The sequence below is a fragment of the Homo sapiens genome, chromosome 6 (assembly GCF_000001405.40).
Source record: "Homo sapiens chromosome 6, GRCh38.p14 Primary Assembly".
Classification (NCBI taxonomy): domain Eukaryota; kingdom Metazoa; phylum Chordata; class Mammalia; order Primates; family Hominidae; genus Homo; species Homo sapiens.
The window spans coordinates 5,490,055-5,513,443 of record NC_000006.12 but is presented as its reverse complement, the minus strand read 5'-3'; the positions used below and the strand labels follow the sequence as shown (position 1 = coordinate 5,513,443).

At 40.7% G+C, this 23,389-nt stretch overlaps 1 protein-coding gene across 19 annotated transcripts in view, besides 2 other annotated features; it reads right to left on the bottom strand.

The window, feature by feature from the left end:
- The window catches only part of FARS2 (phenylalanyl-tRNA synthetase 2, mitochondrial), a 521,650-nt gene that overhangs the window by 258,140 nt on the left and 240,121 nt on the right, over positions 1-23,389 (bottom strand). Inside the window, exon 5 of one of the 19 annotated variants that reach the window (XR_007059198.1) lies at positions 14,981-15,112. The exons of the other annotated variants lie outside the window; for them this stretch is intronic. The gene's annotated coding sequence lies outside the window, so the exon portion shown is untranslated. The remainder of the gene's footprint in view (positions 1-14,980; positions 15,113-23,389) is intronic. 19 annotated transcript variants of the gene reach the window in all.
- Positions 5,948-6,077: an enhancer, noted in NCBI's record as "active region_23908". NCBI's record gives its function as "activates an Ori minimal core promoter by ATAC-STARR-seq in GM12878 lymphoblastoid cells {active_cell/tissue: GM12878}" and the evidence as "EXISTENCE:reporter gene assay evidence [ECO:0000049][PMID:35858748]".
- Positions 13,582-13,782: a silencer, noted in NCBI's record as "peak5636 fragment used in MPRA reporter construct". NCBI's record gives its function as "represses an SCP1 promoter by STARR-seq MPRAs in K562 erythroleukemia cells {active_cell/tissue: K562}" and the evidence as "EXISTENCE:reporter gene assay evidence [ECO:0000049][PMID:32103011]".

The following is a 23,389-nucleotide window of genomic DNA, read 5'->3' as shown; positions in this document are numbered from 1 at the left end:
GGCCTTCTGAATTAGGATAACTTCCCCTGTCAGTACTTTCTGGTATGGTCCTTTTTGTAATATTCAGGTATTCACTCAAAAACATTGACTGAGTCCCTCCTACATGTCAGGCACTGCTCAAGTTAATGTGGATACAACACAAACACGGCTCAGCTCCTTTCCCCAGAGTTCCAGTCTCAGGTAATAACCTCGCTGTTCACAAGGTTCCTGACTATCTGAACTCCATTCCCTCCCTCACCTGTCACATGAGATGAGTCACTAGGACTTGCTGATTTTGACCTCTGGATTCCTTCGTGAACCTAGTTTCTCTCCATCCCAACCACCGCCACCTCATAGTGTCCACCCTCTCCCCTAGGAAATATTCCCATAGCCTCCATCAGGTTTTCCAGCCTGCCATCCACCCCTCTCCAACCCAACCCACGCATCTGCAATTGGAGTGTCTAGGATGAAAATCAGACAAGGACACTTTCTTGCGTCAAACCTATCCAGGGTCCCCAGTGTGTCTGATGACTGGACATCAGTCTACATTTTTCCCTCACTCCCATATTCTCCCATGTGAGACCTGTGCTTCTGCCATAATGAACTATTTGCAGTCCCCAACCTATGTTCTCCTTTTTTTATGCCTACTAATGACACCTAGCACACACAGTTCCTGTCACCTACTTTGTGCTTAATACATATTTTTTGCTGAAAAGAATGAATGCATGAAAGTGTTTGTGTTTTTACATTTACTAGGCCTTCTGCTTGAATTGTCCTTTGTCACCAAATTATCAATGTCTTTATCACATTTGAATCTCGGGTGCCTGGCACAGCATCTGTAACCTAGGAAATGCTGAGTAATGTTTTCAGACTAAATGGATGGACAAATAATTGACGGGCAAACCATCTACCTTAGCTTAGGACACAAAGTGGAATACAAGTAGGTAGAAAGCAATGATTTCTCCTTCATAAAGACACCCAAAAGCCTTTGCTAATTTCCTTCAGGAACATGAACAATGCAAGTCTTGAGAGGTAAAATCAGAATAAATTATTAGTGACCCCAAGGAGAAGACATGCCCTTCTTGTTTCATTTTGTTTTTAATTTGGCTGCTATTGATTGAGGTAGCATAGAGGTAGCACCAGGTAATGGAAAGAGCATTGCCCTGGGAGTCGGAGGACCTGAAGTCAATTCCAGAACTGGCTCTCCCTCTAATTAGCTGTGTGGCCTGAATTCAGCTGAATCAGAAGCAAGCCCACCCCCCGGGCCTCCTATTATGTGAGCAATTGAATTTCCTTTTTTTGCTTTAGTTGGGTTTCTGACTCTTGGAACTAAAAGAGTGCTGACTAACATCCCATTCTTATCATCTCTTGTGGTTGCATTTACTGGGCGGGTAAGCCAAAAAATGCCATAAATAAAGCATATTCTGATTATAGCAAAGCACTTGGCTGAAGTCCCTAGAATATACTCACAAAAGAGAAAAGAGGACTCAACTGTTTATTTAGATGGATCTGAAACTTGTTGAACCTTTATATGTGAAAAGTTCTGATTAATGAATGTGTACACATGGAAAGAGGTTTCTTGTATCCTCTAACAGACTCCTGAACCTGTCCCTGTTCTATTTAGGGTTCTCAGCAGCCACTCAGAGAAATAAAAGGGGTGCTTATGAGACTTCTAGATCCCTCAAAGCTAGAAGAAATCATTAATATAACAGAGGCATGAGTCAAGATTCACCAGTTTAATGAGGAAAACAGAGAAAAGGCATGGTTAGGGCCACAGGTCTACGAAATGACCCTTTTCCTCCAATAGCCCTCCTAATACATTACCTGGCTTAGGCATTACCTGGCTTAGGAAATGAGACTCTTCTGTTTTTCTCTTTGGTTTTTATGGCTTGTAATGAAGTTTCTTGTCTGCTTGTGTGTTTTTATTCTACTTTGTGCGCAGGGTATTATTTCTTAATTGTACCTATTCCTGGAATTATTTGGGAAACTTGCCCATTTGTGATTAATTAGCTTTTTGATTATTATGTGTTTAAGAGCCTTGTGCCTTCAGGCATGTGCACCTAAAAATTAAAATGTATTAATACGAACATAATGAAATCAATATGATTTTATGTAACTGCATGATTTATGCTTATTGAGGAAGTTATTTAAGTATAATTTATAGGTTAGTTCTTACAGCACAAATGCTTTCCTTCTCCTCATTTTCTCTTTTTCTCCTGCAGGAAAATTGCAAGATCCCTTAAATACCTTCTCATGTACAAAATCTTCATCTTGGCATCTATCATTCTTTCTTGTTCTTACTTCTGTCCCTCTACCATTCATGTGCTGGTTTGACTAAACGTTGGACCAATCTGGGGTGAAAGTGTGGGACACTTGTGCCATCTGGCCTCTCCTTCTCCCTCCTGTGTCTTGAGAGAGAAGGGAAGCTCAGTCCCCTCTGAGCTCAAGCATGGGAGACAACTCAGGCTCTGATCCTCAGGATCCCCGCAAGCCCTGCTGAGGGAGGGAGAGGAGGAGATCTCACATCAAGCCCACTGGGGGGCTGCATCTCTGCATACCGGTAAAGCCCAGCACAGACAGGCACTCCTAGGCATCGGCCTGCCATTAATAAATACCAGCTCATCTCTCATTGGCTCATTAACTTCCTGAGGTCATCTCCTCTGACAGTGAATCCCCAAAAGGACAAGAGGACAAGAGGGGGGTGGGTGGGGCTCAGACACAAGGCTGGGAACCCGTTCTACTACATATGGGGTCAAGCTCATCACTGTGTCAGCACTCACGTACTCGCTTCTCACGCGGCCAGCGCTGGTGAGTGTGCTAGCTCTCTAGCAGGTCCAGGGGCTGCAAAGATGAGTGAGACACAGGCTCCGCACACAAACAGCTCACAACCCTCTCCCGCGCTCAAAAGGCACCGTGTGCCCACCGTGTGCAAAGCCCTGGGCGTGCGGCGGGCATTCAGGAGCTTAAAGACTAACTAGGGCGAAAGACAGGCCAGGCTGCGGCGGAACTCACGGTCAGACAAATGCTCTCTGAGGTCTGAAGGGGAGAGGCTGCTTCAGCTCCGCAGTTCTGTTGGGGTTGCCTGGAAGGAGGCAGGCCAGGATGGCACCCTGCAGGGAGAGGGCGAAGGGACCAGGCAGCATCTCCCCTAAGGGGTCGACCCAGGCAGAGTCTTCCCTAAGGGGTCGACTAACTCATCTGCCACCCCTGAGGAAAAATAATGTAACGTTTCACTCTGCAGATATCCACAGAATCACTGAACTAAAAAAAAATTTGAAATGAGGCAAAATCTTTGTTTAAATAGAAAAGGGAGCAAAAACCAACCAACCAACCAAACAAACAAACAAAAAACCCCTCCAAACCCCAGCCTTTGGTTGTCCTATAAAAATCTAGCGGTGCTGCCTTCTTGCCATCTATCCAGATGACACTCTCCTTAATCCCCAGCCCAACACTGGCGGGCCTCACAAAATGTAGAGCTAAAATTACAGTTAACACCACCATAAAGAGCTCCACATTAAATGAGAAAACAAAATTGGGCGACATAATGTATTTTGAGTAAGAGGAAAATAAACCAGAAACGATGTGTATATATAAACATGTAGAGGAGTGTGCATATGCTATGTGTTGGTATATATAGATGTTGTGTTGTGGATAATGCTCTTCCCAGTAACCTGTTTTTTAAAAACCAGCACACTCCAGCAGGTATCCCCATAAAGAAACCACCCACTTTCTGCAGAGACCACAGTCCCCACGCTCAGTCTTTCCTGCTGAGCTTCCACAGCTCTCCCGCTCTGGCGCCAAGCTAGATGGACCACCCTCTGGACATCCTTTTCTCCATCATTATCGACTCCTTGGAAAAGTAAGCCACTCACAAGTAGCTGGGACCTCTCGCCTTACCCTTAAGAACCCATTTTCCTGCACTATGCCCATCGAGTCTGCCCCTTGTCTGCCGAGCTGCACTGGAATTGTAAAAACCAGGACCAACTGTGTCCTACCAGGAACAACTCACTTCCCCAGTGTGCTCACGAGATTTCTTTGTGACATTTTCATCAGCTACGTGGTGTAAACTAGGAGCCATTCACCAGACGGAGGGGCCGCTGCTTTAATCAAACCTTGTAACTTGTTCCCTTTCTCTTATCTGCATACGCAAACCCAGTGTCACCCTCGAGCTCCACGCCAAGGAATGCTGGGCAGGAGAACCTGGGCAAAGCTGGAAGTTTAGTATCTCAGGAAGACAGTGTTCTCAGCAATTCTGATTGGGTGAAATGAAATCTTGGCTACAAGGTTAACAGCTTTTACCTAATGTCTACGTCTATTCTCTAAGGTTGAAAATGTTTTTTCATCCCTTCTATCAGGGATTGGCAAACTATGGTGTGGCCCTTGGGGCAAACACAGCCACACGCATGCATGGATGTATTTCTCTGGTTGCTTTCACACTACCATGGCAGAGCCGAATAGTGACAAAAATCAACTGGAGACCAGCCCGCAAAACTCAAAATGTTTACTATTTGGTCCTTTACAGAAAATGTTTGCTGACTCCTTCCTTTATATTTGTCACTAAATACTGTCGTTTCTTCCTCCGAAAGTCTTCTCCATTTCTCAGTGCCCCCTCATTTCCAATGATAGTACTATGATTCAAATTCTGTCCACCTCTCCGTGCGGGATAGCTTCCCATTCCAGTCCGCCCTGCGTACGGCTGCCTGGCTGTCATCCTGTCACTTGCTGAATCCTCTCAAACCCATGCCCAAGAACATACATGCTCTTAGTTGCCACCAGAGGCAATCTCCTAATTTTACCTTTCAGGGCCTTCAATTCAGACTTCGGTCTCACTTCTGTCCTGTACCCTTTGGGCCTGTGCCCTCCCTGTGGGTACACCCATGCTTTCCTCCACTGCTGGGAGGGCTTCAGCCCCTCCCCCGCCCCACCTGCCAGCACTCTGCTCCCCTTTCCCCAAGAAGATCTCCTGCTAATTCACAGATTCCCTCCTGGCCTCTCTGCATTCTGCCCTCTGGTTCAGTCCCTGCTGTCATGTGTTCACTCACTTGAGCTTGTTTCTTGCTGAATTATCTGCTCATCTTATAGATTCCAATGGTAACAAAAAATAAATTAGGACAAAGACTACAAGAAAGATTCTGATGAGAGGAATCCACGTGGGGGATGATCCCCTCGGAGATGTGGCATCCAAAACTATACTAGGTCTCAACATGGGGATCACCTACATTCCTGGTGAAAATTCCTCTCTTGGTGCACACTGCACTTAATGGTTTATATCACTGACTTGATTGTTTTCCCAGACATTTCACATCTTTGCCTTTCATCTCTTCAAAGAGTTAATAACTCCCCATTAGAATATGCATATATATTGCAGTGCTAGAAAATAAGTAGAGGAACTTAATAACTTATTGTGAAACATAGAAGCATACCTTGCTTTAATAAAACTTCATGCCTTGTTCCCTTTCTCTATTTGCCTATAAAAACCCAGAACTCTCAATCACTTGCTTACCAGACATTCTGAAATTGAGAAGCAAAAGAAACCTTCTCCTACCTCGGGGCATAAGCTCTGGCCACCCATCCCATTTGGATCGTCAGGTTTTAACAGGCTACACACTTATAAACAAATTCTTATACACCTCTAAGTTCTTCTCCCCTGCTCTCTGCTTCTCCCTTGTCCCTCTGCTCCCTCCGGTCTTCTCTCTGTGTGCCATCATGGCGTGTCCGCAGTCTGACCCACTAGCCGGGAGGCCACTGAGAGGTGGGCTGGGACACTGGAAAATGAGCTTCATTTAGAAATTAAGCTCAAATCATAAGTTCTGCCTCTCTTAAAAGCTATTACCATTGACAATGAACAGCTCTGCTTCCTCTTCACGTTCTCTTAAAGCCATCATGAGCCCCTGCCTTCCACCCCAGCCTGCCAATTACACACTCCTGTCAGGGGACTTTCACTTTTAACTGCTTTTTACAGACATAAGTGAAAGTACTAAAAATTAAAAGCTGAAAGGAGATGAAAAGAAACATGCTTCAAACTCCTTCTCAGCCATTACGAATCAACAGGAGCTAAACATCAGATTTTTTTTTTTTAAAGAGCTTCCTTTTTATGAACAAGTAAAACGTATGTAGAAGAGAATACCTCAAACCCCAAATGGGTTGTGCATGTAACATTTTAACTCGTGTGCCCAGTTCCTAAGTAAATGTTACCAGTGTGACCACACTTAACAGTGGAAAGCTAGTCAGCCATGGCAGAGTTCAGCAACTGCTATTGTTAACCACACTGTAAATGTGTTAGAAGCCATCACTTTTTTTGCTGCCAAATTCTGAAACCTCTGTCTCTGAAAGGCTGCAAGCACTGTATTCACAGAGAAGGTAGGTGGCAGAAAGGGGTTAAAGAGGTTAGGTGTCTGTGTGAATCGGATTTTAGAAAGATCTAAAACTCCAAACAGCAGTGTGCATGCACTCAAATGTGCAAAACTGGAAAAAGTCATCCTATGTTGAAAAATCAAAGCCATTTACAGTAGACATGTATCCAGGAAAGGGGGCAGTCTTTAAATATATGGTTAGCCTCTTAGCCTCTCTCTGTGAAAAACTCTGGATTGCCAAGAGCAACACTGAAGATTTACTGTTATAGTCAGATTTCCCCTGCTATCTTATTGTTCACGAACTTTCAGAGCGATTCTCCATCTAGCTGTTTTCATGAATGCCTCAGTGATCAACCACTGAAGCAGATGACCTTTCTCACCAGTTGCCATGTCTATTAGCTAAATCTGCTCTTTCCCCTCAAAGCAGATCCTTCCCAGGCTCCAAGCATCTTCGTGTAATGTTATGAAGGTTTGTATATGCTGGGTGTCCACAGAGTGATACCCGTCTGGAATCTTAGGCAGTGGTGGGAGGTGCTAGAGACAAACCAGGGAAGCTTCTGCACTGATCCCAACCAAAACATGGGGAAGGAGCCTGCAGAATTGTAAACAGAAGACAATTCGGTGGTTAAGAGGCTGTGCCCAGCCCCACTCTCTCTAGCTGCCCATTTGAATGTTGGACCAACAGTGGGGCATTCACAAATCTTGAGAGTCAAGGTTCAGGTTTTAGTTTCAACTCACAGTGGGGTTCCTCTATTCTGCTGGCCTTGTTTTCTCTCTGCTAAAAAACTTCCGTTAGAGTGACTCTCCTGACCCCACACCCTGCCCTTTACTGAGTCCCGCTAGGAGCTCAGTACTCCCTAGGAGGAGCAAGTTACTTGCTGGTCCATATTTCTGGATGAGGCGGAGCTGATCTACTAAAAGACCTTGAAGTTGGGAATAGGCTTTCTTGCCCTGCTCTCCACTGGGACAGCTGAGAGACTATGCTTGTTATGCAGACCCCACCATTCTCCAGGTTGGGCTGGAGGGGAGGGAGGGAGAGCAGGTCCTCTTGATGCAGATGCAAAGCCATGTGATTCCATCAGCTGAGGAGAAATAAAGCTGACATTCTCTTTCCTTCACCTGTTTCAATGTCTTAATTTGCTTAAAACTCAGGTGGAAAAGAAAAGACTCTTCTGGCTGCCAACAGCAAGTAAACTTAAATTTACAATAGCAAAAGGTTAATTTATTATAAAAATGTTTGTAATATTATAATAGCTGGTGGAACTGAAGGGGAGTCTCAGGAAAAACCACACCCTGGATATCAAACATACTGTTTTCATTCTGCATCTGCTGTCTTCCTTTTCTGTTTGCAGACTGGCTACCTCTGCTCCTCAAGTGCAAAGTTGAGAAACATGATTGTTCAATGCTCTCAGGCATCGCATCCTATAGCTTCAGCCATTGAAGAGGGACAGTATGTTGCGGGAAGTCAGGGACCCCAAACGGAGGGATCAGCTGAAGCCATGGCAGAAGAACGTGGATTGTGAAGATTTTATGGACATTTATTAGTTCCCCAAATTAATACTTTTATAATTTCCTATGCCTGTCTTTACTTTAATCTCTTAATCCTGTCAGCTGAGGAGGATGTATGTCGCTTCAGGACCATGTGGACAGTACTCTTTCTTCTCTTAAATCCAAAATTCTCTGGCTAAAAGTGTGATTGCCTCCACAGTGAGGGGACCATTGCCAGACAGACAACTGTCCAAGTTGGAGTGGAGCTACTCAATTAAGAAAGGGGGTCATGGTGGAGCAAAACCACTAAGGCACAACAGGAACTAAAGTATCAATCTGGAAGAGCGAAGGAAGCTCCCAGGGACTGAGCTGCTGGGCCTCCAAGCCTTTTCCATCTAATCTCAGCGTTTTGAATTCTACCATGTTTTAAACCTAAAGATTCACAAAAGCTATTAATAAAATAGCCATATAATTTATCATTCACACCAAGACACTTCTGAGAGTGAAAGTAGGTACCACAAATAATTAAAATTATATTATTTTGAAATGTCTATTTATTGACTGACAAACTGGTTTTCTCATAATCATGGATCTATATAATCACTCTTATTCAGAAACTATTTTCAAAACTAAAATCTTTCTTTAAAAAACGTCCAAGCCAGGTGTGATGGCTTGCATCTGTGGTCCCAGCTACTTGGGAGACTGAGGTGGCAAAGACTGCAGTGAGCCGAGATTGTGCCACTGCCCTCCAGCCGGGGTAACAGAGAGAAAGACCCTATGTCAAAAAAGAAAAAATAAAAGTCCACATACATTAAGGCAAAATATAAAAACTTTATATTCTTTACATTCTTTATGTTAATTATAAACATTTAAAAGTAATATAAATAGTAATTGGTCTTGGCATACATTTACATACCTTGAGCAGTTTTGTAACTGTATGTTTTGAATTCTGTCCTGGTATTTCTCTAAAAGTATTTGTGTTTGATACGAGCTTGGTGTCAGTAATTTTTGTCTCTTCCTTAATGTTGCATTTTGTGCGACTTGAAGTTGTTGACGTCTTCAATGGATGTTTCTGTTAAGTCCACACTATTTTAATTTTTGAAAACACCTAAGGGTAAGTGATAAGCTCAGAGCAAATCCTACCAAAGGAAAATGTTCTCAATTCTTTTTTTTTTTTTTTTTTTTTACTGGAAAGCATAAATATTTCATTCCCAATATTTTTAAAGGAACTATCTTTCTGCTTCCACTCAGTGTATAGGTCTTTAATGAAAACTTTAGCAAGATCAAGCTCTCATATTAATTGTCTCTCTTTATGATTCTTTTGAATATCTGACCAAATGTGGATGATGCAATATTATAAGCCTTTTCAACTTCATTCCATTGTGATATAGAATAAAAATTTATCCAGTAAAATACAGAAGTCTCATGAAAAAATTATTTCCATAACGTAGTTGTTCTAAGGAAAAATTATACAATTTTGAAATTAAATTTTGTGTACCTACCATTGGGCCCTCATCCTATAATTTGTCACTCCCTACTCTGCTTTTGTGAGGAAATACGGCAATATCTTCTAGCTGGCAGGCTGTGGTTTTAATAATGGCAAGTCTCTAAAACCTGCCTATGCTGAATTTCCTGATACTCCAGTAATTGAATACTTTTAAGATTTCCACTTGATTTGGGGCAAAAATGCAGACAAGATTTAAAGGATTCATACACTCATTACCAGTGTAGCATAGTTACAGTGAGATACAAAGAAGTTTTTCAAAGGCTGACATATTTCTAAAATCTGATCAATGACGGGGGCAAAGAGAGCAAGTGTGTTCTTCCCACAGTGAGGTGTGTTTTTGTATTTAACTTCAGTATTGAAAAAAATCTGTAGTTCAATCATTCTGTGTAAAGATATAAATATCTGTACATTTTTACAATGGCAGCTTCTAATTCTAAGAGTACAATATCACAACTCGTTTGGATACAATTATCAATTATATGTACATTCTATACTCAATGATTTTACAAAATACATTTCATATTATATACTTGTATATTTTATTTAAATATTTTAATTAATTTATTTTCTTTTAAAATCATATGTACTTGCGGTATGCAATAAGATGTTTTAATATACAAATGTATAGTGAAGTGATTACTACAGCCAGGCAAATTAATATAGCCATCATCTCACACAGTTATCTCTCTCTCTCTCTCTCTCTCTCTCTCTGTGTGTGTGTGTGTGTGTGTGTGTGTGTGTGTTAAGAATACCTAAAATCTACTCTTAGCAATTTCTAGTATATGATATAATATTATTGACCACAGTCCTTGTGCTGTAATTTCTAGACTTGTACTTCATAACTGCAACTTCATGTCTTTTGACCTACATCTTCCCATTTTTAATAAAATCTTTTATTTACTATTTTCTTAAAATATTTTTATATATTTTATTAATTTTTAAATTATGAATTATATACACATGTATCTTACCATCAATCCAGGTATATTTCTGCTACACTTTTCTTAATTTAGTGAGGATGTTGTTTTTATTAAAACATTGTTCTCCATAAAAGTTTTCATATATCATCACTACAAAAATAAATAATTTGATCATAAACATTGAGCTTTTTGAATGGATTTACAATCACACGCACAATCAGGTGTGTTACCTTTGACAAAATGAACTTCCAAAAGCATTCCTCTTATCCCATGAATCACATGGAAAAAAACAAAAAAAAATTCGAATTAACTGATTTTCTATTTGAAGTATCTGATGAGATGGCTGTGATATAAAATTGGCAGGATCACTTAACTGTTTGTAAAGCTCTTTTGCTAACTGAGCCAAGATATTAAAAGCTATACCTACATTTTTACATGTGTGCGAGAAAACCTGAACTCCAGAAAGAATGAAATTATCTTGAGAGTTACTTGTCTCACCTAAATGAAAAGTCATTCTTTGAAAACAATATGCAAAAATGCTGCATTGTGTTTCTTACATGCTCATCTTTGAAATGTTTAAAATTTTAAAAATTGTGAAGCCTTCTTCAATAGATTTCTTTCTTTTAGAAATCTGGTCAGTGATACTGTTCTGACTTTTATGTGAATGGTAAATATTGACAGGTTACACGTTCAATATCAACTTTCTTGACAAATCCAGTAATCCATTTTTCCTTAAAAGGTGCTTTTGGGGAGAGAGTAATTGCGACCAAAAGGGTTTATTGAAAAATAATTTTAAAAATTACCAAAAAGTAAAATAAATGAATAACTTCAGATGTATACCCTATAAAATGTGACAAACCCTTGCAGAAAGGGCATGCCAAACTATTCTCTGCATCTATAGGTTCTAACACATAATGGCTAAGCCTCTCTCCAACACATATTTTAACGAATAAATTGCTATAATTCTCACTGTTTCATCTGACTAAAGGCCAGTGGCTCCTGCACTTTGCAAGCTATGGAGTGATCCACGGCACAGCTGGCTGAGAGACCACAAGGCTGGCTGGGGTAGCAGTCTCAAATACTACTCCCACACCATGCTGGACTGGGAGGAGTTAACTGCCCCAGCCACTGGTGTGTCAGCACACTGTTTTATCAAGAGCACCTGCATGCTTCATTCAAGGAGGTATTGGCTCAGCTGCACTGTGAAAGGCCTGGGAGAAGAGAAGAACGTCATTGCTGGACAGATTTAGATTTCACTGAGAACTCTGCTCACTGCACACGCATCTCACATGTGACTGGAGGGGCAGGCAAGCTCAAAGGACAAAGCAAAGGTCTATCAAGCCCATTCTGGCATATTTTAATGCAACCCGTAATGATACTTTATTTTAAAAAATGAGAAACCAGCTGGGCGTGGTGGCTCACACCTGTAATCCCAGCACTTTGGGAGGCTGAGGCGGGCGGACCACTTGAGGTCAGAAGTTCAAGATCAGCCTGGCCAACGTGGCAAAACCCCATCTCTACTAAAAATACAAAAATTAGATGGGTGTGGTGGCTCACGCCTGTAGTCCCAGCTACTCAGGAGGCTGAGCCATGAGGATTGCTAGACCGGGAGGTGGAGGTTGCAGTGAGCTGAGATCACGCCACTGCACTCCAGCCTGGGCAACAGAGCAAGAATCCATCTCAAAAATAAATAAATAAATAAAAATAAAATAAAATAAAAAAATGAGAACCCCAAGACAATGCTAATTAGGAAGGTTAAAGGCACTAACTGGGACTGTCCTGGGCAAACTGAGCTGTGTAGTCACCTATCAGTTAATGGCTCTGTTAAGAAAATGTAATTAACACAGCTAAGAGTTGAGAACTTACCATGAAGCATATGCCAAGAGCTTTACAGGCAATATCTTTTTCAATACGCCCACAGTGAGCATATCTCTGAAATAGGTGTTATTTCTTCATTAGATTTATGTCCTTTGTTTACCTTAGTACAAGGCTGAGGTATACCGATACTACTTAAACTCTTTGAGGTTTAGATACTAGATGGCGAGTGGCAATGTTCATTCATATCATGTTTACATCTGCTGGCTTGGTCTGTCTAGCAACTCTAACCCCTTCTTTTGATAAGCACAGTCCAGTTTTCTCTGGGTGAATGAATCTTGTGTTTGTTAATCACTGCATTCCCTCTTCTAGCCCCATCTCCCAAAACAAGAACAAGACCAGACCTGGCATCTCTCTCTCTCTCTCTCTCTCTCTCTCTCTCTCTCTCGGGGATTTGAAGCTTGACTGGAATGTCACAAGGACAGAAAATGTTTTGTTCCAAGTCATTCCAGTGGCACCACCTTCAAGTGGCTGTCCTAAATACCAGAACTACCCTCTTCTTATCCTTTATCCTTTCAACTCTTCTACCGGTTCTGTGAATTATCCAGTGTCATTTTAATACATCCTCTCCTTTAAAAAAAAAAAATGTAAGGTAGCAAAAATTGGTGCTACAGCTTACAACCAAAGCACTCTGACTCCCTTAGCAATTAAACCTAGGTTTGTCTAACTCCAGAGTCCGTGCCTTAACCATGGTACCCTGGTATGTTCCTTAGCCAGCACCTGGTACCAGACAGGCCTGCAGTTTACCTGCTCTGATGAAAAACACTGAAGGTAACTGCACAGGCCTCTCCTCTGCAAGCTGCATCTGAGGCGCCTGGCCTTGCCCCACCCTCCGCTGGTGTGGCTGGCCTTGATTTCCCTTCAGTCATCCAGGAGAGATGCTTACTAATGTGGTGTCTTCCTCCTCAAGTCTTATTTGGTCTCCATTCTGCTTCGACAGAACCATATGGGCAGCTCTTTGCAGCCTGGGAGAAAAGCTGCATTTCTATGAGTACTTTCCCAGCCTCCACAGCAGCCTTTTCTCAAGAAGCTGAAGAAAACGCAGTACCCAAGTTACCAGAATTTCTCACTGTACCACACACATTTTCCCAAGCTAGAGAAAATAAAGTTTTCTAGGGAGAGAGGGAGGGAGGGCGAGAGGGAGGCAGCACAATGAAATAATAGAGAACAGGATCAGATACCCAATAGACTTCTTAAACGATGGCAAGTGGCAAAACTGCTGACACGAAGAATCATGTAAAACTTATATCTTCATAAAACAACACATTTGGAAAGGACACCACCCCTAGAATTGCTACCTCAGCTTGGTACAGTTGACATTTGCTTCTGCTGAAATTTCAGATGCCCCTTGTATTAATGTATGCAGAGAGAAGAAAGAAGGCATTGAAAAGGCAGCAACCATACAGGGACAGTTGAAAACCAACACAAAAGAAACAGGAAATGTAGGCCATTGCTGTACCCAAAGTTTAAGTAGTTAGTGACTACTATTTGAGTCACTTAGTTTTAAAAAGTAAAAGAACGACTTATGATCTCATCAAAGATATTCTGGCACACAGAACTAGATAAATGGCTTTGTACCAGTTTTCTATTTCTGCAGGCAATGATATCACCAAGCCAAAGGAAGCAAATTGGGAGACAATGATCCTGAAGTTCAAACTACAGCAAACGGTAAGAACTCTACGGGGAACTTGAGGGAAGTTTGAATTTTCTAAATGCATAGAATTAGGAGCAGCAATCATTAGCTGTCAATCCATTTAACTCACTCATGGATGAGCATGTTAGGGCCCAGAGAGATTAAATGACTTGCTCCAAGCTCACAGACCCAAGCAGTGCTAAATCTGAAAACAGAAATCAAACCTTCTGACCTTATTCTAACCATTCTTTCCTTTTCATTGCATTGCCCTAATTCACTCATGTCCTGCACTGAAGGGAACTAAAGTGCAGTCTGCGTCTCATGAAGGAAACATGTGTCTGGACCTCCCTAATAAAACCACTAGGGAAGCACCACACTATCTGACTTGCTTCCCTTCTTTCTACTCCCAAAAGACTTCATCCAGAAAAAAATGTCCACTCTCCCAGGTTCCTTGGGGTAGGCACACGTTGGCCAGAACCAAGTTAGTGAACTGCCAGTGAAAGGTCAGATGCAGCCTTCATCGATACACGCCTCGCCCAAGATTCTTTTAACAAGAAAAGGGCACCGCTTCGTGACCAGCCTGGCCAACATGGTGAAACCCCATCTCTGCTAAAGATACAAAAATTTGCTGGGCGTGGTGGTGCATGCCTGTAATCCCAGCTACTCAGGAGGCTGAGGCAGGAGAATCGCTTGAACCCAGGAGGCGGAGGTTGCAGTGAGCCAAGATGGCACCACTGCACTCCAGCCTGGGTGACAGAGTGAGACTCCATCTCAAGAAAAAAAAAGGCACTACTGGCTTCAATGGAAATGCAACTGCCTTGTTTCAATTTCTAGCATCCTGCTTAATTTATGTTGTAGGTTTTCCCAATTCAATTAAGGAGCTCCCTCGTCTTAACTCAGATATCTTAACCTTCTCTTCATGCTCCTATCCTGCTGTAAAGAAACAGGAATTCAATCTGAAAAGTGACTAAATGCTGGTGGTAAGTGACAGCTGCTTTGAGGAGGTATAGAGGAGTTAGTCATAGGTGACATAAAGCCAACTCTACTTTTTGTGTAAACTAAAAACAAAAAAAAAATACATGGATCATAAATCTAATTCAACAATTGAACTTAGCCAACATCTACTGAGTACCTGGTGCGTGCAGTCACTCCGCTGGTGTTAGAGACACGGTGATGAACAGATTCCTCCCTCAAGCAACTTAAACTCTAGAGGAGAAACACTTACGTTTTATGATAAGTAAAATAAGCTCCATCAGACAGTCAGATGGTTAACTTGGCCGATCTGATTCACCCTGGCATTTCCTTTCCCCGCTGATGCTCTTGAACGATAACTCTTAAAAACGAAACAAGCAAAAGCCTAGTGACACGAATAAAAGGAAAAAATAAGGAGCCTGAAAACTCTACCACTCAAATAATCTTCTCTTTTGAGATAATCCAGAACTGACTATTTTACCATCAGAGGAGGATGTGTTTCCAATTTAGAACACCAAAAGATGAAAAAAAATTTTAATCATTTCTTATCCTTTAAGATCTGTCCTAGATTCCATTCAATGAAACCACAAGTAACATCAAATCGCCTAACTCAACAAATATGTAAGTCCTAAACACCCCTAGAGAGTCCCTTCCATTCCCCAGGGCCCCCAGCACAGTAGGTGAAAGCAGATGTGATCAGAGAAGATAGCTATCCCTCTCAAAACTGGCTCTAGAGTTGTATAATTAGCTACACAATCCCTAAATTATAGCTCTCTGGGGAAAGAGGGTGAAACTATTTGTTTATTCACAATGAATGATAATGTAAAACAGTTAATTGCCTTCAGATGCTCACGCTCCTATTACAATGAAAGGTTAATGAATTACTTATTTAGGGTAGAGGAGAATAAATGAAAGGATTACATTTTAAAAATAAACATTTCCTAAAATTCTATTTAAAATAAAAGAATAATAAAATTACCCACATTTATTGCTCTCAGTCAGAACAATATTGAGGAAAATATTTTACATATATTTAGAGAACTATAAGAAGTTTGAATGATACCATTGGCATTCATTTTCCATGTTAAATATCTTATTTACCATGATAACAGTTAATACAGGCTTTTAACTGAAGGTGTGAAATGATGTTTGTTGAAACATTTTTATTTCTATTATTAATGAAATCAACACCCAATGTTCCTTTTACTCATTTTTCTGACATTTAATCCATGACAGCCAATCATTGTAGGTGCTGTTCAGTTTGTCCTTTATCCCACATTAAGATTTTCATTCTCATCAGGCCTGGCAAAAAGATTCACTATTTTAGAACAGCTCCAAACTCAACAGAGTTGCAACGATGCTGGCCCCTGGCCTGCTCCTAACATCTTGGTTTCCTTCTCTACATGGACTAGTTTCTCTGGGAACAGTTATCAATTCAAACTCACTCTTTCCTCATGTGGACTCAGTCATTTCAAACAGGATCATTTTTATATTATAATGATCATTATATGTATTGTTGTATTTTATATAATAATGATAACGATGCTACCATTCTTATAAGTAGGGATTTGGAGTTTTCAAAATCATCATACACGAGATTTCATTTAAGTCTCAGTACCATCCTATAAGGGAGTTAGCCTTACTTTTATATTGAATGCTGTTCACAGTAACAGGATTAGAGCTTCTTCACCCCATTTGGGGCTGAATCATGCCCCCTCAAAACATATATTCACAGCTGGGTGCAGAGGTGCATGCACACAGGCCCAGCTACTCAGGAGGCTGAGGTGGGAGGACTGCTTGAGGTCAGGAGTTTGAATCCAGCCTAGGCAATATAGTGAGACCTCTACCTCTAAAAAAATAAAATTAAATAAAAAGAAAGAAACAACAACAACAACAAAAACTTCATATATGAAAGTCCTAACCCCCAGGACCTCAGAACGTGATACAGCCTTTAAAGAGGTAATTAAGAGGTAATTAGTTAAAATGAGGTCATAAGATGGGCCCTAATCCAATTTGACTTGGATGTCCTTACAAGAAGAAGAGATTAGGACACAGATACACACAGAGGGAAAGACCATGTGAGGACACAGGGAGAAAGTAACCATCTACAAGCCAAGGAAAGAGGCCTCAGGAGAAACCAGCCCTACTAACACTTTGATGTCAGATTTGTAGCCTCCAGAACTATGAGAAAATAAATTTCTGCCACTTAAACACTCCACTCTGCAGTATTTGTTATGGCACCCGTAGCAAGTTAATGCACGCACACCCTCATCTCTTGTATGCTCTACACAGATGTCAAGCTTTTAGGTAGAGCAAATTCACTAATTTCCCAAAGCTCCTCCCTCTCGATGACAAAATATTCTGAATGCTGAACACCTTGTAAGGCTTCATTTTAAGTAATCTTATACTGATTCCTATAGTATCAACACTAGAGTCATCAACTAAAAACACAGAAGTGACAAATGGCGCACTTAAGCAATGTGCTCTGTGCAGAGCAACTAGAGAGACATTCAACGGATTCAAAAGCAGAGTACTCAATGGAGTATTACCCTCCTTCCACCCCCAACCAAAAAAAAGATAAGAAGAAAAGGGCATATATTGTTTTATATGGCCGTAGTAATCGGGAAGAAAGTAGAAGAATTAGCTGGGGGTGGGGAGTCAGGGAGAGTTGTGCAGGGATCCTAGGGGAAAAGCAGGTCATAGTAATTTGAGATGATTTTAACAAGACAAGCTTTCTTCCATATTCAGACAGTGAAGGGCTGGTTAGCTGCTCAGGCAGGGCATCGTGATACTGAATATTTTATAGGATCATGGTCCATCAGCCCTGCACTAGGGACTAATTAGGCCTGATACACAAATTGTAATCTATTTACTATTTCTGCTTAAATCATGAGAATTTAAATACCAGTCTCTCAGAGTCCACATTGTTCTGTTATGGTCTCTGCCTTTGATTACTTCAACTGAGAAGATAATTAGCATGGATCAAGCCAATCACAAGCTCTATGAGCTACCACCTCAGTATTACTGGTTTAATTTTGGATAAAACTTTCTAATGATCTGACACAAAGAAAAGAGCAAATTTAGAACAGAAAACCCGAAGGCTTAAAGGGCTGATGTTCCATTAGGAACTCCTTAGCCTGAGTTGCAAGCTTCCATTTTCCCTTCCTAGCTCCAGATTCTTTTTTTGCACCTTTCCATGTTTCTATTAGACTAGACCCCAGAAGCATCGGTGGAACAGAGGAAGTGTTCCCATTTCCAATTCACTTTTAATTATAGAAAACAGTTGGCAAAATATCAAAGCCCCATGTACAATTTCTTCTGGCTCCACTGGGAGCACAGGGGTTTACCAAGGGGAGAGAATAACAGAGAAAAACAATAAAGTTTGAGAATTACGACGATGTAGAAAAGGAAAGAAAAGATGAAACAAAGGCAGAAAATGATGACAAATTTACATCTTCCAGCTGGCACACTACCTTGGCTCAAAAGCAAAAATGTGCATTATAATTTCAGGCGGCTACAGTTTTCACAGGGTTTAACCTGAGTCACATTTTGACCTCTACAGTTTCTATAATTGGAAAAGGATTTTATTATCTAAAAGGGAAGAAAATGAAGGCAATGAGAGGGAAGGAGGGAAAACAACAAAGTTCTCTGCTCTGGCAGACATTCGTCACCCACAATGTTCAACCTCACACAGCAGTCATTTTAGGAGGTGTATTCTGAAGAGAAGAGCAATTACCCCTGAAATAGGCCAACATGTTCATTTGTTTAAAGGGGTCAAAAAGAAAGGGATGAATCTGAACTATAAGGAAGCTTGTAATAGAGTTATTTTCGATTGCTTTTTCCTCATCTAGTTTTCTTTTGACATTTTAGACCATTAGGACACCTTGAACTAGCTCTAGGGGAAAAGGGGGAGAGAGGAAAAAGAAAATAATAAAGCCTCTTGGTACAGACTATGTTTGAAGTTTCGTTCCTCAAACATGTGAACTTGTGCAGGCAATACAGCAAGGGAGACATGGGAATGATAAAGAAGGATGAGATGTGAAGGAAACAACAGAAGAGAATACTCCAAGTGGAAAGGATGGGTAGTAGGAAGAGAGAGAAGAGAATTAGTGGGCATGAACCTAATAATGGAGTTTGCCCTTCCACAGGAGGACCACCTTCCCAAAATGTAGGAAATAAGTCTCTACAGTGCAAACAGAAAATTTGCTCTTACTAGCAATAGAAAGATACAAAAAGAATAAGAACCTATCAAGGACACCTAAACACGCAGAGTTTCAAAGCCCGCTGAGAAGCGAGGCAGTGTGAAGCCGCAGCCAGTACAGACCCGGATTCCAGTCCTGCGGCTACAGGAGCTTGGCAGGCCTCCTGAGCGTTCTCCGCCTTCTTTGTGAACTAAAGGATGGGTGGATGGTATGATCACCAGGGCTGCTGCTTTCTTTGAAGGTATTATGGTTCTAAAACATAGAATTTTACTTTTTAAAACCAAACCTGACTCAAACAAGTAGTCACTGACTATTTAAACTCTGAGTATATACCCTACATTTTAAACCATCCTCACAAAGCCTACTTGACACCACAAAAAAAAAAAAAGAAAAAAAAAAGGAGGAAACAGAAAACAAGAGCTAGAGAAAAACAACGTAAGGAGTATTGAAAGGCCCCAATAGTGGCCCAAGATGAACTTCTGACAGGAACTCCAATAATTCTTGCTGCTGAAATAGCGCTGGCACTCACTGTCATTGTATCACATGACACTGTCCACTGTGTCTTTAAACCAAACTGGTATTTTCATAATATAGAGGGGTATGCCATTAACACAAGAGACAAAATAAAAGCAAATGACAGTAAAATATTTGTGCAGCATGTTGTACTTTATAAAGTCATTGAACTGTCATTACATCTGTAGTGCTTTATGAGAAAAACATAAATAATTTGTTAAACGTTTGTGAGCACCTACTATGTAAGAGACCTTCATTCATTCCGGGTGCTTTCTGTGCATCATGTCTTTCAATCCTCAAAACAACTCCGTGAATAGCTAATACTACTGCTCCCATTTTATAAATGAGGAAACAGTCTAAGAGCCATCAAGTCACCTGTCCAATGTCGCAGAGCTAGTTGGCAATACAGCTAGAAGTTAGATCTCCAGTCCCAGCTTGGTGGTCCGGGGTAGACATAAGGTCCCCTATAGAGACTGCGACTTTGACTTTCCATTCCTCTTGGAGGTCGATACACTGCAGTCTTCATCTAGCCACACATCAAAAGACATTTGTTCTATCAATGTTTTGTCAGACCCTTCTTTCATTTAAAGCAGTATTTCTTAAGTGTTGCTCTGCACTGAGCACTGTACTAAGAGACATGTGATCCCTACCTTCTAGAATGTTAAATTCTAAGTGGAGAAAAGAGGAATAAATGAGAATGAAAAGCAACTGTCCAACAGTTAAGTAATGAGAGAGCAACATAGTGCAATATGTGGCTCATTTCTTTCTTTTTCTTTTTTTTTTTTTTTTTTTGAGACACAGTCTCCCTCTTGTCACCCAGGCTGGAGTGCAATGGCATGATCTCGGCTCACTACAACCTCCACCTTCCAGGTTCAAGCAATTCTCCTGCCTCAGCCTCCCAAGTAGCTGGGATTACAGGCACCGGCCAATAAGCGGCTCATTCCTAAATAAGTACACAGAATACAGGGCCATAGCAGAAAAAATCAATCCAAAGGAAAAAAATGTGTAGATGCCTCTGTGAGCCATGGAGACCATATTACAGGAAAAGCAGAGGCAAACATCAGCTCCAGCCCGCAAGGGCATGCTTATAACATTGGAAACCCTAAAGTGGTGGGTGGCAGGGCAGGAGCAAGGTCTGCAGAGTGTAAGGCTATATACACTCTAGCCACTCTGCAAATTCCATAAACAAAAGATTGCAGGGAAAGCCGGGCACAGTGGTGCATCTCCACATCAGCCTCTGCAACTGGGACTCCCTGGAATATGAGATTCTCAGCTTACTCATTTTCATATATTCACTGCCAATACTAGGCCCAGAACATGGTAGGGGCTCGATAAATACTTGTTGAATACAAAATAAAGTTCATAGAAAATATGCCAACTGCCAACATTGGCATTTACAGACCTAGTACAATGCTTAATACATAGCAGATACTCAATAAATATTTGCTGACATGATTATATTGCTGGTAGAATTTTAAATCTGTACTTAAGATAAAGCTGTGAAGAAATGCCCATTTAAATAAAACCAGCAATAAATAGTAATATTTTATCAATGTTTACATAATACATTTTACTTTTTCAGAGTTTATCCTTTAACTCATCTCTTGAGCTAGAAAAGTCGAATATACACTATCTTAATAAATCAGTCCTGTATTGAGTTATCTTAAGTGCTGTAGAAAGATCTCACTTCTTTCTGTAAGGCTGTTTTGTAATATATACACAAATTAGAATTATGTTTTTAAAGAAAAGCGTTCAAATATGACAATATACTATCTGTGTTTTCACCATTCAAAGTGTTGTTTGGTAGTTGAAACTTAAACTACTACTACTTTATTAAAAGTCATTTAATTAAGTGACCAAAATGTGTTGTGCTCTTTATTGCATTTTCACAGCTTTAAAATCTATGCACATACCGTTTCATAGAAAATGAGTAGTTTTTATTGACCTAGATAACGGTAGTTCTTTTGCACATTTAGTGATCTAATATTGGGGAGGTCAAGAAGTTTGGTTACTGAATTTGTTAGATACTAAGTCCTGTAAAAGGAGATCTCTAACCTCAAAAAGAATGTACATACCAGGAAAAAAAAAAAATCTTTACAATAGCACCGTGAGGTAGGTGTTATGAAAATTCTGCTAATTTGACTGGATATGATTTTCATGGAATTCATTGTGCTTTATACTTACATGTGAGGTGTCACAAGAGTGGCAGTAGCCTGTGATATCTGGTGAGTACAGAAGCAGTGGGTGTTAAAGGGACTAGCGAGAAAGAGGGTAAGATTACAATGGAAACAAAAATTAGCAATGACTATAAAATATGAACATGTAAGAAAATGACGAATGTGCTATGGCATATGCAGAAGAAGAAACGCTCATATCTTTCGGGGAAGGACTCCTGCAGCATGGGGAAGCACTGTGTTTATGGAACCCTCAGTAACTGGCAAGAGACAGGGAAGTGATTAATGATACGGAAAACGTTTTGAGTGCAGGCTGGAGGATTACCATCAATGGCGCATGATTCTTAACTCGACGTCACTTTAGGAAAATGCAGGGGATGGAGAACTTAAAGCTAAGTATGATCGAAATGCTGCTAGAAAGTTACCGCAAGACTTACTTAATTCTGCACAGCAACAATTATGGTAGCTGCATCTGGTAAGGATTCTCATCTCTTATAGAGATGGGGGCAACAAATTTTCAGGGAAGAAAACACAAAATGAAAACATAAAAATGACTCAATTTTTTAAATGGGCAAAAGATTTGGACAAACCCTTCACAAGAGAAGATACACAAATAGCCATCAAAAACATGAATATAGGCTCAACATCATGAGTCAACAGAGAAATGCAAAACAAAAACACAGTAAGTGCCATCACATAACTACTAGAATCGCTAAAGAGAACCAACAATATAAAATGTTGCTGAGGGTATGGAGAAGATGGAACTCTCCTTGTATTCCTTATCTATTGATGTGTAAACAAATTATCCCCAAACTTTGAAGCTTAAAACAACAAACATTAATTATCTCACACAGTTTCTGATGCTCAGGAATCCAAGAGCAGTTTACTTGAGTAGCTTTCCAGGTCTCTCTTGAGGTTGCAATTAAGAGGTCCCCTGAGGCTGCAGGCATCTGGAGGTATAACTGGTTGGATATCTGCTTCCAAGCTCACTCACATAGCTGTGAGTAGGCAGTACCAGTTTCTCACTGGCTGTTGGCCAGAGGTCTCAGTTCCTCACTATGTGGGTCTCTGCATAAGGCTGCTCACAATACAGCACCTGGCTTCCCCAACAAAGCAAATGATTCAAGAGAGCATAAATAACCAACCAAGATGAAAGCTAAAGTGTATTTTACAACCTAAGCTCAGAAGTGATGTACCACCTCTTTTGCTATACTCTACTGATCACACAAACCCATGCTGACAAAATATGGGAAGAGACTGTATTACTGGCACAAGCCCAAGGAAGCAGCGATCACTGGGGGCCATCTTGCAGGCTGGTGGGAATACAAAATGGTACAGTTGCTTTAAAAAATACTATTAACAATATTTTAGAAAAGTAAATATACAGCCCTATATGACCCTTCACTCCCAGTTCTAAGTATTGAAACAAGAGAAATGAACACATTATGCAGACAAAGATGTGTCCATGAATGCTCACAGCAGCATTAATACACAACAGCCCCAAACTGGAAGCAATCCAAACGTCCATCAGCTGATTAATGGATAAACAAACTGTGATATATCTACACAATAGAATGCTACTTAGCAATTACAAAGAACAAAATATTAATACATGCAACATGGATGAACCTCAGAAATACTTTGTAAAGTTAAAGAAAGCAAACACAAACATCTAAGTATTATCCAAGTCCATATATATGACATTCTAGAAAAGGCAAACCATAATGACAAAAGAAAATCAGTGATTGCTTGGGTTTGGGGATGAAGAGAAAG